We start from the raw sequence: 16,741 nt of genomic DNA, 5'->3' as shown, positions 1-16,741 counted from the left end.
ATTTTTTGTTATATAAGAGAAAGAAATGACATAGGTACACACACACACACACACACACACACACACACAGAATAACATCTGGAAGAATATAAACCAAAATGTTACCAGAGTGTTGATGTTGTGAGTGATTTTCACTTTCTTTTTAGGATTTTTTGCATTGAATGACTTTTAAAAATAAATATGCTCTTTTACAGTCAAGGAAAAACCAGTAAAACTACTTTCATTTAGAAAAAAAATGAGGTTCATCCAGAGTAATTCTGGATTGCCCTATCTGGTATAGTTTTGATATTTGTTCCCCCAACACTAATGTTGAAATACAGTCCCCAGTGTTGGAGGTGGGGCCTGGTGGGAGGTGATTGGATCATGGGGGCGATTTCTCACCAATGGTTTAGCACCATCTCCTTGGTGCTGTCCTCCGATAGTGAGTGAATTCTCACGAGATCTGATTGTTTAAAAGCGTGTGGCACCTCCCCCACCCTTGCCTTTGCTTTTATGCTGTGACATGCCTGCTCCCACTTCACCTTCTGCCACAAGTAGTTGCTTCACCGAGCAGATGCTGGTGCCATGCTTTCTGTACAGCCTGCAGAACTGTGAGCCAATTAAACCTCTTTTCTTTCCTTTTTATTTTATTTATTTCCTATTTATTTATCTGAGACAGGGTCTTGCTTTGTGGCCCAGGCTGGAGTGCCATGGCCCTATCTTGGCTCACTGCAACCTCAGCCTCCTGGGCCCAAAGTGATTCTCATGCCTCAGCCTCCTGAGTAGCTGGAACTACAGGGATGCACCACCATACCCAGCTAATTTCTGTATTTTTTGTAGAGATAGCATTTCACCATGTTGGCCAAGCTGGTCTCGAACTCTTGGCCTCAGGCAATCTGCCTGCCTCAGCTTCCCAAAGTGCTGGGATTACAGGTGTGAGCCACCGCACCTGGCCTAGAGTCAAATTTTTATAAAATTGTCTCCATAAGATTATTAGAAAATGCTAATGAGACAATTAATAAATGTGAAATATTTGTACTTAAGCTGGTTCTATAAAGACAAGTTGAAAAAGTTAATTTTATTTGTATATATTATCAAACTGGTCGATTCTTGGTGATTTGGAAAGCTTTGGCATAAATTATCAAATTAATGAGGTCATTATTGCCAAGTCCCTAATTTACTTTGAACAATGAAAACCACCACAGTAGAAACAAAACACATAGAATCTCACCAAGGTAGGAAACACCTTCTTCTGGAGATATTGTTCCATATTTCACCATCATCTTCACAAAGTCAATCAGTGTTTTCATGATAGTAATCAGTGTTTCTTTCTCTTTTGCTTCTTTTTCTATATGAAAGAACAAAATAACTTAAAACTGTGGGGGATAGCTTCCTCTTTCAATGTCAATTTATAAAGTACAGCATCTTTTTGTTTGTTTGTTTGGGTTTTTTTTTTTTTTCAAAGACGAGGTCTCACTGTGTGGCCCAGGCTGGAATGCAGTGGCTATTCTCCGGTCTGATCATGGCTCACTACAGTCTCAGACTAATCTCCTGCACTCAAGAGATCCTTCCATGAAGTTGGAACTATAGGTAAACACCACCACACCCAGCACTAATTACAGTATTTTACTGAAATATTTTTCTCTATATTTATAGCTAAAACCATATATATTTAACTTACAAAAAATCTAAGCTTGATTGGAAATATAGGGTAAGATACAGCTATACTGAACTTTTTCGGACATGGGCAATGATAACTTCTCCAAAAGAGTTTAATTTCATTTAAAATATTTGCTAATAGGGTAGATGATAAAGACACAGTTTTCAACCTGAGGTAACATGAACTCAAAAGGAAGGGTAGAAGACTGGCAAGCCAACAACTTTTCTCTACTCAGGTGGTAAGTCTCTGAGGGCAAGAACAATCTTTATTCATTAATTAAGCTTAATTTTCTTAATTGAAAATAAGAACATATATAGTTCTAGTTTATAAATACAAAATTGATTTTTGAACAAGATGTTACTTTTAATCTTTATTTCATTTGAAAGAATATATGCATATGGTAAAAATATTCCAACTGCTGAAAAGTAAATAAAAATGGAAAGTAATATTCTCTTCCTCATCCCCTCTAACTCCCTTTAAGTAACGATTACTAGCAGTTTCTTGGGAACCTTTTTTCTTTTTTTTTTTTTTTGAGATAGAGTCTCACTCTGTCACCCAGGCTGGAGTGCAGTGGCACCATCTCGGCTTACTGCAACCTCTGCCTCCTGGGTTCAGGAGATTCTCCTACCTCAGCCTCCCGAGTAGCTGGGATTATAGGCGTGCGCCACCATGCCTGGCTAATTTTTGTATTTTTAGTAGAGACTGGGTTTCACCATGTTGGCCAGGATGGTCTCGATCTCCTGACCTCAGGCGATCCGCCCTCCTTGGCCTCCCAAAGTGTGGGGATTACAGGCGTGAGCCACCGCGCTCGGCCTCTTGGGAACCCTTTGTATTTGACATTCTGTTCTGCATCTTGATGGAACAAAATGGATAATGATGCCATAATAGCTCAGAAAAAATATTAATTCTAAAATCAGAAAAAAAAATCTGTTTCCATTTTTGAAGAAAAGAAAAACTAAGATGCTAGAGGGGGAACCCATTTTCCCTATTCTTTGAGCTGCCACTGAAAGATTTTCTCTAAATACTCCTAGCCTTTCCCCCTTCCTCTTCATCCTCCCCCGCAGATATGGTTGGTAAGCAACAGCCATTAGCCTATGTTTCTCAACTGGTGGGGATTTGGAATCTTTCTTTTTTTCCACTTGCCTGGAACAGTGCAAGGCAAGAACCTGAGAAACGAGCCTGTTCTGCAGACCCAAATCATCCCTGAGACTGGCTGTTCCAAGATCTAGACGGAGGAGTAGGGAGCAAACAAGGCCACTGTTGGCTCTCACATGAAGCTATGTTCTGCAGCCCTGTGTTTATCAGCAACAGAGATGATATTTTGGTTTCCTACCTGCTTTATTCATTCTTAATTGGTTGAGACCCTGGGCAAGAAAGACAGATGCTAGCAAAGAACTCAGTATAAATATTTAAATTAAAATTATGGAAAAATAAAGACAATAAGAAATGAGGTGAGGGAAATGGAAAGATAAAAACAAGTAAGGAACATTTTATACAGTAGAATTTTTAAAAATGCCATAAAGTCATGGGTTGAGAGGGAGGAAAAATGGGAGAAGAGTCAGGGGAAGAGGTCTTGGAAAAGAACTGATAAATAGTAACTTCAGCTATCACATTATTTGCTCAAGGACACATCCGTAGAAGTATTTGGCATCACGCTGCTGCTCTTCACTGATGAGAAGTGACTCACCAGGATGACAGAGGTTCTGAGTAGGGCATCTGCCAACCAATGGGGCAAGATGGCTCAGAATGGACCCTCAAGATGTACAAGCCCTGCAGAGCCAGCAGAGTGGCCGGTGCCATCTGGCCAATGTCTGGAATTGAAGCACAAAGGATGTTCTCCAGAAATGAAAGCTTATTTTAAGGTCACTTCTTGGGAGAAATAGATTACAATTATAGAAGTCTTTATATAAATGTTCAATCTGGGGCTGAATCCTTGAACAGGGAAAGAAAAAGCCATGAAGGCAGTCCAGAGCATCTGTTTGAACAATAACAACAGAAACATTGCACATTATTATCCTCCTTGCAGATTAACCAAAATAAACATGGACTGAATCCTCAGTTAACTCACTGCACATATGAGCAAAGAGATCAGGATGCATGAAATACTTAGCTTTAAAAAAACAAAAACAAAAACAAATAATTTCCCAAGTGTGTTTGAGGTTCCCAGATTCCTTCAGTCTAATGTTCTCCATTTTAACTCTGAAGTTAAAATGTTCATAAAGGCTGAAACTGAAACTGTTCATAAAGATCTCTTGAATAATATAAAAAGGATGAATTAGGTTTCATACACTGTTTCCATTAAGGAAAGTGAGTAGAGCCTTTTAAAGAAAGATTTGTTACAAATGGAAGGATTTCCTTCCTACTTTTGTGTGTGTGTATGACAACATGTATGCTAATAAAAAAAGGCAGGCAAAGAAAGACAAATACTGTATGATCTCACTTATATGTAGAATCTCAAATAGTCAAACTCATCGAAGAAGAGAGTAGAATGGTAGTTGCCAAGGGCTAAGGGGAGGGAAAAATGGGGAGGTGTTGGTCAAAGGGTATGAAATTTCAGTTATGCAAGATGAATACATTCTGGAGAATGTACAGCATGGTGGTGATAGTTAACAATACTGTACTGTGTACTTGAAATTAGCTAAGAGGGTAGGTCTTAAGTGTTCTCATCACACACACAAAAAGAATAAAAGAAAAAAAAGAAAAAAATGTTAACTATAAGGTGATAGATACACTAGTTAGATTCATTGTGATAATCATTTCACAATGTATAAATGTACCAAAACATCAAATTGTACACCTTAAATATATACAATATTTGTTTGCCAATTATACCTCAATCAAGCTGAGAAAAAAAGAGTTGCAATAAGAGTTGAGGTTGAACTGGGTCAGAGCAAGGACACTGCCTGGTTCATATCCATCTTTGTGCTAGGTCTTTTCCAGCACCTTGTACATAGCACACGTTCAGTATTTGTTTGCTGAACAAATAAATGAACCTTCTGTTAACAAGAAGATTAAATTATCCAGAAACATCACCTTTCCTAAATATTTTCATAACTGGCATGCTCCTTTGGAAAAAAAAATCGATGTGAACCCTTTTCCCCAAGCCCACAGTGTATGTCATTGGAGATTACATTTGGAAACTGAAAACAGGAAGAAAAGAACACACCCATACATTTCCTGGAATCACTCTTTCTGTTCCACATAATCACAACCACACAGTGGTTACCTGAATCAATACTTTTCAGTAGCGCATAGAAATTTGGGAAATATTGGAGTTCCTCAAAGTTGTCTTCACTGTAGGTTTTAGTTCTCCTTTCCAAGCCATTTGTCAAGGTTAATGTGTTAGATACTGTTTCATCGTTTTCTCCCTTAGCAAGACCATCTTGAATTGCTGCCATTGGAGTCTCCAGTGGGGAAAAATCAATAAAAAATGAACATTTTGTTAGAACTAGTGAAACTCCAGCTTGATTCCTTCCTTTGTGATGCCCTTAAATGTGAAGTGCAAGAATTCCCCCTCGTTTGCAAGCTCCTGCAGGTTCAAACCCATTTCTAGATATGTGTGCTCTTGTCATTTGAAAAGGTCATTGAAGCTCAGGGAAAGGTGCTCTACCTCAGGGAAAACCCCCTGAAGACCCCAGCTCCTGCTCAGGGGAAAAACGGGAATTTCTGGGCTCTTTCTCTGGCCATGTTTACCTCCATAAATTATCATGAGTCTCCCCAGGAAAAACTGCCTTTTAATGAAGAGGGAAGCTTTGAGTTCACAGAATCCACCAGGAGGGCTGGTGCCAGGATACAGGAAAGCCTGTTAGAATGTCTATCCCTAGCAGAGCAGTCACACCTGGGAATTTTTGGGTAAAGTTTAAGTGCTGTCTGGATGAGTGTACAAAATCTTTCTCTCAGACCTGGTTTTTGTTCAGTGACTTGCATCTTAGTAAATGGTTCATTCTCCATTCAGTGAACTAGATAGAAATTTAACAGCCTTTCTTGCCTCTTCTTCCTTTTCCCCCATCCAATCCATCAGTAGCCTTGTTGGCCCCACTTTCAAAATTTATCCCAAATTTGCACATTTCTCCCTCCACTATGCCACTCTAGTCCAAGCAGCCTTCATTTCTCACCTGCTAACTGCAACATCACCCTCCCCAAATCTATGCCCAATACTGCGTTTCCACATTATAGCCAGAGTTATCTTTTTAACAATCTGATCATGTAACTCCTTTGCTTAAAATTCTTCAGGGGACCAGAAAATTCTCATGGTTCTTACAATAAAGATCAGAGTCCATCCATGGCTCATAAGGCGCTGCATGGTCTGGCCTGGGTCCACCTCCCCAGTCTCTTCTCTTTTTGCTCTTTCTTTCTGTGCCAGCAACACTGTGCTTGTTTCAGTTGCTTGGATACTCCACACATCCTTCTCTATGTGCTGCCTCTCATGTTCACAAGTTAACTCCTATTTGATCTTCGGTTCTCAGCTCAAGTTACTTCCTTAGGGAAGCATTTCCTGAGCCTAAGTCCAGGTCAGCCTCCTTTTTTGAGGTCTCATAGAACCATGTTTCTTTCCTCAGAGCACTTAATGCAATTGTAATGAAAATACATGATGATTTAAACATGATCTACCTCTTCCACTAGACTTTGAGCTTCATGAGTCAGGGATTATGTCTTTTTAAATAGGCATGGTATTTCCAGTGCTTGGTACAGAGTTAGTATTCAATAAATATTTGTTGAAATAATATTTCATTTGTGTTTTATTTGCATTGATGCATTCAGGTAACATGAGTAAACAGGTCAAGCATATGAACATTTTAGAGATAGGTGAATAGGAGTATGTAATGGGAATGAAGAATTATGGAAATAGCTGTGTCCATTTTAGCTCAGACTGGTAAGCTTGAGCAAAAGTCATAAGGGTTTTTTTTTTTGATAAATCTAGAACTTTTTTTTTGAGTGGGTGAATCTTCAAAAGCTGCTTTAAAAGATGGCAGCTGGTGAGGATTGGAAGTAAGGAGAGCAGAGGAAAGTTTTTAGGCTATCCAGTAAAAAAAAAAAAGAAATCCAGACCCAATTTCTATTTTCTCTCCTCTCTAAAACAGAACCATCAGCCTCTATAGTCTTTGTATTTGAGATAAGATGCTGGAGGAGATGAGGAGCCATGGGTCTGGGTGCTTTACAGAGGAAAATCAAAGGACAGATGAGGAATTTGATATCCCCTTATGGTCAGTTTCATCTAAAGTTTTAAAGAGAATTCAAGGTGGGGAGAAAGATCTCAACAGCTTGGTTGGTGCTAAGGAAAAAATGAAGACGCAAGGAGTCCAACAAAGGGAAGGAAGGATGAAATTAGCCTGGGTAAATAGGCATCTAAACCAATGAAAAGGGGAAGGAGCAGGTGGAAGAGCATTGCCAAGAACAGAGAGGCAGCATTAGGCAGCTAGCTCTGGGGAACACAAAAGCTGGTGTAGCAGAAGATCTAGTCAACCCACTTCTTTGTGGGGGGATTGGGCACAGATGATGACATCTGCTGTGAACAGATGTTGGATACCAAAAGAACTGTGAGATGTTTGCTTGCAGTTCACTGGGACTGTACACACAGATGTTATTATGTGATATTGTTACTTCACATATTATTATGTATTATTTTACTGTGGGGTATAAGATGTAATCTTTACCAAATAATAGAATATAACATAATCTTTACATTATTTTCAGAGTAGAGATCATTTATATCTTTTAACTTTTTGGTATTTTATGTATATACATATTTTTAAATTAATTAATTAATTAATTTTTTGAGACAGGGTCTCACTCTGTCACCCAGACCGGTATGCAGTGGTGCAATCATAGTTCACTGCAACCTCAAACACCTGGCCTCAGGCGATCTTCCTCTCAGCCTCCTGAGTAGCTGAGACTATAAGCTTGTGCCACCACACCCAGCTAATTATTTTTATTTGTAGAGATGGGGGTCTCATTATGTTGCCAGGTCTAGTCTTGAACTCCTGGTCTCAACTCCCACCTCAGCCTCTCAAAGTGCTGGGATTACAGGTTTGAGCCAACATGTCTGGCCTGAATATAAATGGGCTAAAAATGCCACATACCTCAAATCTTCTTTGGTATCAAGTAAGGCAATTATTATACAGATAGAAGTACACACACACACACACACACACACACACACACCCCCATGCATATGCATATATACACATACATACCACTTTCTCTGGTATTTTTCCAGCCTGATTCTCAGTCCAGCTTGTGGGCTTATTGGGATCCTCCTCATAATTGTTGGCTTCCTTTGAGATTAATTTTTGTAAAACCTCTGCTACTTCATCTTCCAGTGTATGTGCTTGGCTTTCTGTGATCTATCATAAAAAGGCAAAACATATATAACTGCTATATTCCCAGTCTTGTTATTAAAAAATAATGTGGACTAAACTGTAGTCAAACATGTATTTTTTAAAGAGGAATCTTCTGAACCATCTTTCAGACAGCCCTCACTTACGCCTGCACCACATGCTGGCTGTTATAGGGATTGCTCAGCACTCCTGGAAGAAGTATCTTCGGGCCCACCATGCAAGCTGTTAGTTCTATCTGTTGAAACCCATGGACCACATATTTTGAGAAACACCCTGAGCATTGCCCCTCCACAGCTTTGGGTCATAGTCAGATAACCTTTGACATCCTACAAAATTAGCATCTTAATAAAGCCTGTCAGGGCCAGGTCAGGGCAGAAGAGCCAAGCTGAGGTGGATTCAAATTAGATCACCTGGAGTTTCAAAAATACACATCACATGCTTTTGCTCATGTTATTTCTTTTTTTGTCACATACATGTCTTTTACCTCTGCTGGTTATATCCTAACCATCCCTCTAAGCTTCCTTCATACGCCTCTTCCTCTGAAGCCTTTCCTTACTGCCAGTTGGATATAAGCTATTCTCTGGCTCTTATGGTTTTTAAGCAGCTGGCATTTTGGGCGTGTGTCTACTTGCCTAGTTCTTCTGATGGATGATAAACTCCTAGAAAAAAAAGAATGGTGCTTTGCTTGTCCTTAAAACCTACGGGTCCTAGTAGAAGGAAGACACATTATAAACACTTGGCTACTTGAGGCAAGTGACTTGGCTTCTTGGCATACTCTAAACTGCACTAGGAATTTGGTTTATTTCCTACCAAATGACTTACAAGGCCGAGATTAAGTAGTTTAGAAACAATCTTGTCAAACACGGCTCTGTCATTTTCTTCATAAATCCTGGCAGCGATTTTATGGACAATGTCTTCAGCGGTTAAAGGAGTCCCGTCTAGTTGATGAAGACCATCTGGATCATCTAGACAGAACGACCACAACTTCACACCATAGTGATCATAGATCTATTTCATGCATCATATTATACTTATAATCTGTACTTCGCTTTTGTATATTCAGATATGTTTGAAATGTATTTATGGTGGTTCTCGGTCCACAGAAACCCTCGGTTTGAAATAAAATTGGTCTTCATGTTAAAAACTTAGTATGATAATGGACATTCTGAAACTTTCTTAGGTGACTATAAGAGGAAGGAAAAGCTAAAGGCAACAGAAAAGTAGTCTCCATTTATTGTTATCACCAATAATACAAACCATATTATACTTTTTATTAACATAGTATGCCATATTTATATAGCATGTCATATTATTCAATGTACCCTTCTATATATTGTATGATTTGATATTCCAGTTCCATACAGGGAATAGATAGTTTGGTAATATCCCCACATGTACTACCTTTGCAGGCAAATTCCTGGGGTAGGGGCAGGGACTTCTACCTCACACCCAGAATCAGACAGTGTGTACTGAAGATTTTATGACTCACCTAAAATAAATATTTACTTCTAATTGAACTTGTATTAGAGTGTCTTTATGTAAAAAAGGCAGCTTAAGGTGACAAAACTCATCCTTAGAGAACAGGGATCTTACTGTAGTTTATGTGCCCGGAATTTAAACTTTTAAAATATGGCAACAGATCTGCACAAAGCAATATGTAAATCTTTGCAGAGAAGCATGCTCATATGCTCCCTTGGCTCTCCTAGGAATACATTTGGCAATACAACTTCAGACTAAAGTAAGGGCCCATCCTGAGGGAAAGGGCTGGTGGCAATGAAGCATTGTAGCACATCCATGGAGATCTTCCAGGAATCAATTATTAGTCATCTCCAATCTATACTACATTGAATGGATCAAATTTACAATGCACTTAATTCTCCCTGTTTCCTCTGGAAAGATTGGAAAGATCAGAATTTTAGCCCCAGTGATATCTCTGGTTAGCTATATCCTTGGATCACTGTAAAGGAGTCTAACAAGGTATCTATTTCATGGGATTGTTGTGCCATTAAAAGTAATGGCAAAAACCGCGATTACTTTTGCACCAACCTAATATATGAAAGCTAATGTATTATTGTTATTATGCACAGTGGATTTGTATTTTGAAACAAAGGAACAGCAATTATCTCCTAGAGAAAATGGAAATTGAATCTCCGGCCAGATTCTGCCCAGACAATCCTCATCATATTCACTCAAAGAAAGAAGAGCCTAGTATTTCTATTCTGATTCTGCTCTTTTCTTCCATGGGTTTTGGGGATTTGGACAGGGAATTTATCCCGTGGCTTTTCTTTCAGACTCTATGAAAATAGAGGTATATGCAGCCTCAGGCAGAATATCTCTTTCTTGTTTGGAAAGAAGCTTAGGAAAATGAGTGGGGGTAATTATACATGGAGGACTGGAAGTTCTCTGTCAGTACAAAATTGCTGAGCTGTTGGCCAGCCCATGAGCCATGAGCCCTTTGAGCTGAGTACCAGAGAGACAAAAAAGCAGAAAAGCCCCTAAGAAAAACAAACAAACAAACATACAAACAAACAAACAAACAAACATAAAATCAGTTCTCCTCCTGGCTGGCTGAAAATTTGGATCGTCATCTATTTTTCAGGAGCAGAGACTCACTATTATGTGTCTGATTTTTCCATTTGCGGATTGCAAGTCAGGCTGTCAGGAATACATAGAGCAGAAACTGCCCCAGTCTATGCAGAGGTGGAAGAATTTATTTCCCTTCCCACTTATCTATCCCTCAGGATCCGTAAAAGGAGGAATATTGGTTGCCTCCTAGACCTGGAAAATAACTGAGATGACTGTTTTTCAGTCCATTTACTTCACAACAGGGAGGATGTTAGTAACCCACTGAAGAGTCTTTGCTCTGCTGCACTGCTGTACTCTCTTGAGCCAGGAACTTAGGTCTCCCCTAGCAGTGCTTTGCTGGATGGTGTAAACAGTGGAACGTGTGACCATTGCTCCTCACCTTTCCCTGATTTCCTTCACTATTCTAAAATGGATAGTATGACTCAGAATGGCTTCCCTCCTGCTCATGAAGGGGTATTTCACCCTCCATGTATAGACTCCCAGAGGGGAGCCAAACATGGGTTTAACACATAACTTTTGTTAAGTAGCCACAACATTCTAAGTGAATGTCAAAGGGTCATGTCCCAAGTCATCATCTGCCCAGTTATGTTTTGAATCCCTAGCATCTAACATAGCACTTGACATTCATTTGTTCAATATATTTTAATTAAAGTCTTATTATGTGTCAGACACTGGAAATAGAGTGATGTAAAGGTTAGGCATGCTCCCTGACTACACAGGGTTTATTGTCTACCTCATAGTCCAATACATAGCAATTGCTCAATAAATATTCGAATGCATACAGGAGCCCCAAAGCACTACTTTATAAGAGAAATTTGGAAAGATCCTAAATTGTGCATACTATAGAAAACACTGAAAAGGAGAATTGATGGGTCCTATAGTACAAGCCTGTTTGGAAGCTTCCTAAAGGCGAGAGTAGGTCTGGGAACACATCCGGCAGAAGTTAGCTTCCTTTACCTTCCCCTCTGGGATGAAGTCTACATGCATCTGAGGTTCTATTCAACTTAGTGGCCAAAAACCCTCTGGTTTCAGGATTTCCAGAGCACAAGGGGAGACCAGAAGCTTACTCACAAATCATTTTCTCCAAGAACCTTGGCCTGTCTTCTCTGTGATCTCAAGTGGAGTTAATACCTCCTACGGTAAACCTGAAGTCATTAGGACTAGCACTTTGTAGTTCCAAACATACTTGGGATGGTAATAAAATGTTGAACAGTTAAAAAATTAGTTGCTCAAATTAGCGGTCAGATCAAAAACAGATCTATGTCTCTGCCTGCATGTACAACAAGTTTGACCAATCCAGCCAACTCAATATTAGGCTATTTTATTAAATCAAATGATCACTTCAGTTGAAGTGGTTGAATCTGTTTTGTATGCAGTTATAATCAGTGTCTATTTGTAGTCCCAATATTTTAGGTAAAAAAGTCGAATTCAAGATTTTAAAAAGTAAATTTCCCTGAGTAGCATGGCATATGATATATGTCAAAATATAAACCCATTGCCTCCATCCCACTTCATAGGTACACGTGACACTTCAGAACACTCCTAGGTTATTATGTCCTATGAAAGTCCAATTTAATAGTCAGTTGTTTTCTGGCAGAGATAATCAACATAAATCTCCTGTAGCTATGGAACAGAATAAGGACAGGGAAGAAAACCTGTACTTACTCCTAAGCACTGGTTCTCAAAAATGAAAAACACACTTTCCTTCTTAATGCCTAGGTATGGCAGTTCATTTATTCCCTCATATATTATTTCATTTGTTCATTCATTCATTCATTCATAAATTTATTCAATGAATTCATGGGCTTCCAGGCACTGGGGTTACAATGTCTCTATTCTTATGAAGTTTTCAGTTTAGTTTTGGAGAAAGGCATTAATCATAAATAATCACACTTATGAAGGTAAAATTACAAACTGCATGAAGTGCCATGAAGGGCAAGAACAAGGTTTCTATCAGATTATGTGTGCAGGATGAACCTAGAAATGTAGTCAGGAAGCAGTCCATGCAGGACTGTGCAAGCTTCATTAAGGACTTTGGTTTTCCTGTTTTGTTTGTTTGTTTAAGATGGAGTCTGGCTCTGTCGCCCAGGCTGGAGTGCAGTGGCGTGGTCTTGGCTCACTGCAGCCCTTGTCTCCTGGGTTCAAGTGATTCTCCTGCCTCAGCCTCCCAAGTAGCTGTGACTACAGGTGCCCACCACCACTCCTGGCTAATTTTTGTATTTTTAGTAGAGATGGGGTTTCACCATGTTGGCCAGGTTGGTCTTGAACTCCTGACTTCGGGTAAGGAAACTACCACATTGGCTGCCAAATGAAGAATGAGTTGGGGAGAGGCGGAGTGGTTGCTGGGAGAACTGTAGATTTTGCTATAGTTTACATGAGACATAATTGGAGCTTGGACAAGGATTGGAGTTTGGACAAGTACAGAGAAAAACAATTGAGAGATACACAGACATAAAATTAGTAAGTTTTGGCAGATTAGAATTTGAGAGGTGAGGGAAAAGATAAATAGTTTGATCCTAGATTTCTGTCTTTAAAAAACTGGATGGATAGTAGTGCCTTTCCTAAAGAAACAGTACTCTAAGAGGTCTAGGTTGTGAAGTGGACACAGATTATGAGTTTAATCATGGGCATGCTAAATTTGAGGTGCTTCTGACACTGCCAAGGGAAAATGTCGAATAGGTAAACAGATAAATAGGTCTATAGCTAAGAGAAGTCTGGCCTAGTGATATGGGATGTTAGGATATAGATGTAATTGAAGCCACGTAAAGGTTAGGATGACCTAAGGAGAAAAGATATGGCTAGGAGGAAACACTGAAAAGGAAATAGTGGATATTTCACCTTTTTTGTGCAGGGTGGGAGGGTACTTTACTGATCTAATTATTTGAAAATTATGATATTTTGTGTGTACTCATTGTTAAAATAAATCTGAATGTTCAAATGAATTTAATACCATAAAATACAAATACTAGATTAAAAAATGTTTTCAGAGCATCACTAAAGGAATTTTTAAAGGGAAAATAAAATATGGCACTCTGTGGAGCTGGGGCTCTACATGTTATCAGTAAATATATGCTTTATCTCAATTTTGGACTTGACTAATAAAGGATTATGAATGTTTAAAAGATATTTTTAAAATATTGGACTTTCTCTTAACCCATTATAGGAAACTCCACGTTAACAAAAAGTTCTTTTTTTCTCATTTACCTTGAAATTTATGATCCAATCCACTCTTAGTAGAGTCATAATCATCGATCAGTTTTCGATTCTTGGTTGAATCAACATCTTCCACATTCAACTTATTATCAAGTGGGGAGCTTCTTATAGATTGTCTTTCTTTCTCAATTTTTTCCTTTTCTGTTATTGCCTTTAGCAGGTTCAAGTTATCAACAAAAGAATAGTTGCTCTGACCTGGCTTGTTTTCTGGAAGAATAGCCCCAAACCCAACACAGCCATTTTAGTTCAGATTCTCATAGCCTACATTATTTAAATTAACATCAATATGATTTCTTTTTACCTGGAGGATATGTTTTTTTAATCTTGTCTTCTTCTGCTTCAGCAATCTGTGAAGCAAACAGGAGATAGACTTGGTTTAAAATCATTGCTCCACTACTTACCAAGTACAAGAGCCAAATGATTTAATCTCCATGGGATTTAATTGTCTTGTTTGTAAAATGTGGATAATTCCTATTTCAGAGCACTGTTATAATAATTAAATGAGATAAAATTAAGGGTAGATGCTCAGTCAGTGTTAATTTCTTTCTCCTATAATATTGTTGAAAGAGAAATCTCTGGTAAATTAGGCAATCTTACAACAGAGTGGATGTGATGCTGAGCTTACTGGGTTATTATATAGTTACTCTATGTATTCATTATACAGAACTCAATGTAAATAACTGCTAGGGCATAGAATTTACCAAAACTAGATTTCCCGTCCTAATTTCTGTCAATTAACTATTAAGTTCCTGATGTTTGTAAATTCAAAATGACCAAAATGTCACAGCATAATTACATTAAATAATAATAACTAAATCAAAATGAAATAGCATTCATAATGTTACTTTTGACCTACCTGTTCATTCAAAGGTCTTTCTGCACTTAATTCTCTATTATGTAGAGATTTGTCTAGAATAAACACATGTGAATATAAATTTAATTGTGCGTTGAAGGACAAAATATGCCTCTTATTAAATAAAATTTTTATAAAAAGGAAAAATATTAGGAGAAATAATTTTGGATGACTATGAAACAAATGCATATTAACAAAGATTATCAAGATTATACAATAATAGTAATTATCAATATTGCCTTGTTTATTATCTTGGTGTATTTCTTGAGCTGACAGAATCACACTTTTTTTTTTTTCTGACCAGAAATTTAACATATAGTTCTAACACTAGGGTTATCAGCTATTCTCAGCTAGAGAGAGCATAATTTGGATTGGTATTATTGGCACACTAAAAGCTCTTTCATCATATACTGCATATATAATGAATAGACTGTCTGAGAAAGGTTGTAAGGCAACTAGAAAACAATCCAAGCCACTTTAGGTGAAAAAGGTTCCCTTCCCTTTTCAAAATAAGATCTTTAAAAACAACCCATATTATTGCTCTATCATTTTAAAAGTGAAGAAAAAAAATCTGTCTTCTGTCTCTAAATTCGAACTGATTTCTCTGTCCGTATTCATGGATATGATTTGATCAGAAAACGCGTCAGGGTGATTTACAGCTCACGTATTATGCCAAACTTTACCTTTTCGTGGCGAAATAAAAGGAAGGTAGGAAGAAGAAAAGTGTTCACATACCTTGGCTTCCTCCAGGTTTGGGGAAAGCTTGAATCGGGAGCACTAACACCAGAATCCAAGTGCCGGTCCCGAGGAACCCCATTCTTCCACGCTCGGCTTGGGTCACAGCCCGGCGCTGGGCTCCTGGAGCTGTAGCTTTTGTTATGAATGAAAAGGAGGAGTAAAAACAGGAAGAGCCAGGAGGGTGGGTGTGGGGCGGGAGAGGGGCCGGGACTGGGCGGCTGCAGGATCTCTGACACTCGACGGTCAAGGGATAAGCAGGGTTGGGGCGCGCGGGAGTCAAGTCTCCAGGTAGAGGGGAGCGCTGTCCGCCCTGTGGGTGCTGAAGTTCCTGTGACGCGGAGACTGCGCGCCAGGGCGTAGCTTTACTCTCGCTCCCTCCTGCAGAGGAAGTGAGGAAGGAAGCGCATGCTCCATGCACGCCAGAGGCGGGAGGGGATGGCGTCGGTGACTCCAACGCTACTCCAATCCCCCGGGAATGGAACAAAGGAGGGGCGACCGGCCAGCTGGTGTATTTTCTGTGCTGCAGTCCTAGGGTGCTCCTGGGCTCAGGGTCAGCTGGCTTGTCCTAAGCGTGACAGAATTGTCCCAACCTCTCAAGTAAATGTTACTTCAAGGGCCAAATGCCTTCTCTGCCTGTGCACCTGTCAAGGAGATTTAGATAACCTTGTGCGAGGAGTTCTGCTTCGGGATTCTTCTTTTGGGATATCTGCTCCAGAATCCCTTCCTTCCATTCACCTCCTGTACCCAAAAGGTAGATATAATTATAATCTCTTTAGAAAAGCCCTGCCTTTTGTGGTCTGTGTTGACGTATCAAGCATCCCTCAGCTCTACCGAGGCTTTTGAATTGGGAAATTCAAGGAACAGTCTTCCAAATAGTCAGATTGCTGCAATACACTCTCACTCTCTGATGCTGAAACACAACAACAACAGAAACAGTCCTGAGTAGACGAGCAGCAATGGCAAATTCTCCTTTCCCCACCAAGTGGAACCTCCCCCACTTTACACACACACACCACACAACTAAATTAGAAAAAAGAAGCTGCATTTCTGTAAAATCTTGCCCAGAATTTAATTATGCCCAAAGACCTGGCTGTTCCAGGGGGTCCTTCAAGAGAGGGGATAGTCATGAAAAGCATTTTTCATCTTTACTAAGTCAGGGAGGTGCTTCCTATGTTCTGAGAATATTCCCAGAAGCCTAAGGTTATTGTATACAAGGAACTATCAAAAGACTTTAAATGATGAAAACAAGCAACATTAATGTGAGCAGGATGCTGAGTAAGCTCTTTAGTCTCTGATTTTTAAACAGAACTTGGACCTTTTCCTCTGGACTGCGGCATGCTGGGAACCAGTCTGAATAATGACCAAAGAGAAGGA

The 16,741-nt window shown here is 39.2% G+C and overlaps 1 protein-coding gene across 2 annotated transcripts in view, besides 1 other annotated feature; it reads right to left on the bottom strand.

Annotated features, from left to right (window-relative positions):
- The window catches only part of SCG3 (secretogranin III), a 39,524-nt gene extending 23,825 nt beyond the window's left edge, over nt 1–15,699 (bottom strand). The window contains exons 1-8 of one of the 2 annotated variants that reach the window (NM_013243.4): nt 15,365–15,699; nt 14,633–14,685; nt 14,078–14,123; nt 13,768–13,983; nt 8,800–8,942; nt 7,834–7,983; nt 4,866–5,043; nt 1,211–1,327 (exon numbers count right to left, since the gene is read on the bottom strand). In NM_013243.4, coding sequence (NP_037375.2) covers nt 1,211–1,327; nt 4,866–5,043; nt 7,834–7,983; nt 8,800–8,942; nt 13,768–13,983; nt 14,078–14,123; nt 14,633–14,685; nt 15,365–15,446 — 985 coding nt within the window. In that variant the 5' untranslated portion in view covers nt 15,447–15,699. The remainder of the gene's footprint in view (nt 1–1,210; nt 1,328–4,865; nt 5,044–7,833; nt 7,984–8,799; nt 8,943–13,767; nt 13,984–14,077; nt 14,124–14,632; nt 14,686–15,364) is intronic. The other variant, NM_001165257.2, reaches the window with a different exon arrangement.
- Nucleotides 4,676–4,970: an enhancer, noted in NCBI's record as "tiled region #12802; K562 Activating DNase matched - State 8:EnhW". NCBI's record gives its function as "activates a minimal TATA promoter and a strong SV40 promoter by Sharpr-MPRA in K562 cells {active_cell/tissue: K562}" and the evidence as "EXISTENCE:reporter gene assay evidence [ECO:0000049][PMID:27701403]".

Source organism: Homo sapiens, chromosome 15, assembly GCF_000001405.40.
Source record: "Homo sapiens chromosome 15, GRCh38.p14 Primary Assembly".
NCBI lineage: Eukaryota > Metazoa > Chordata > Mammalia > Primates > Hominidae > Homo > Homo sapiens.
This window is presented reverse-complemented; position numbering and strand designations above follow the sequence as displayed.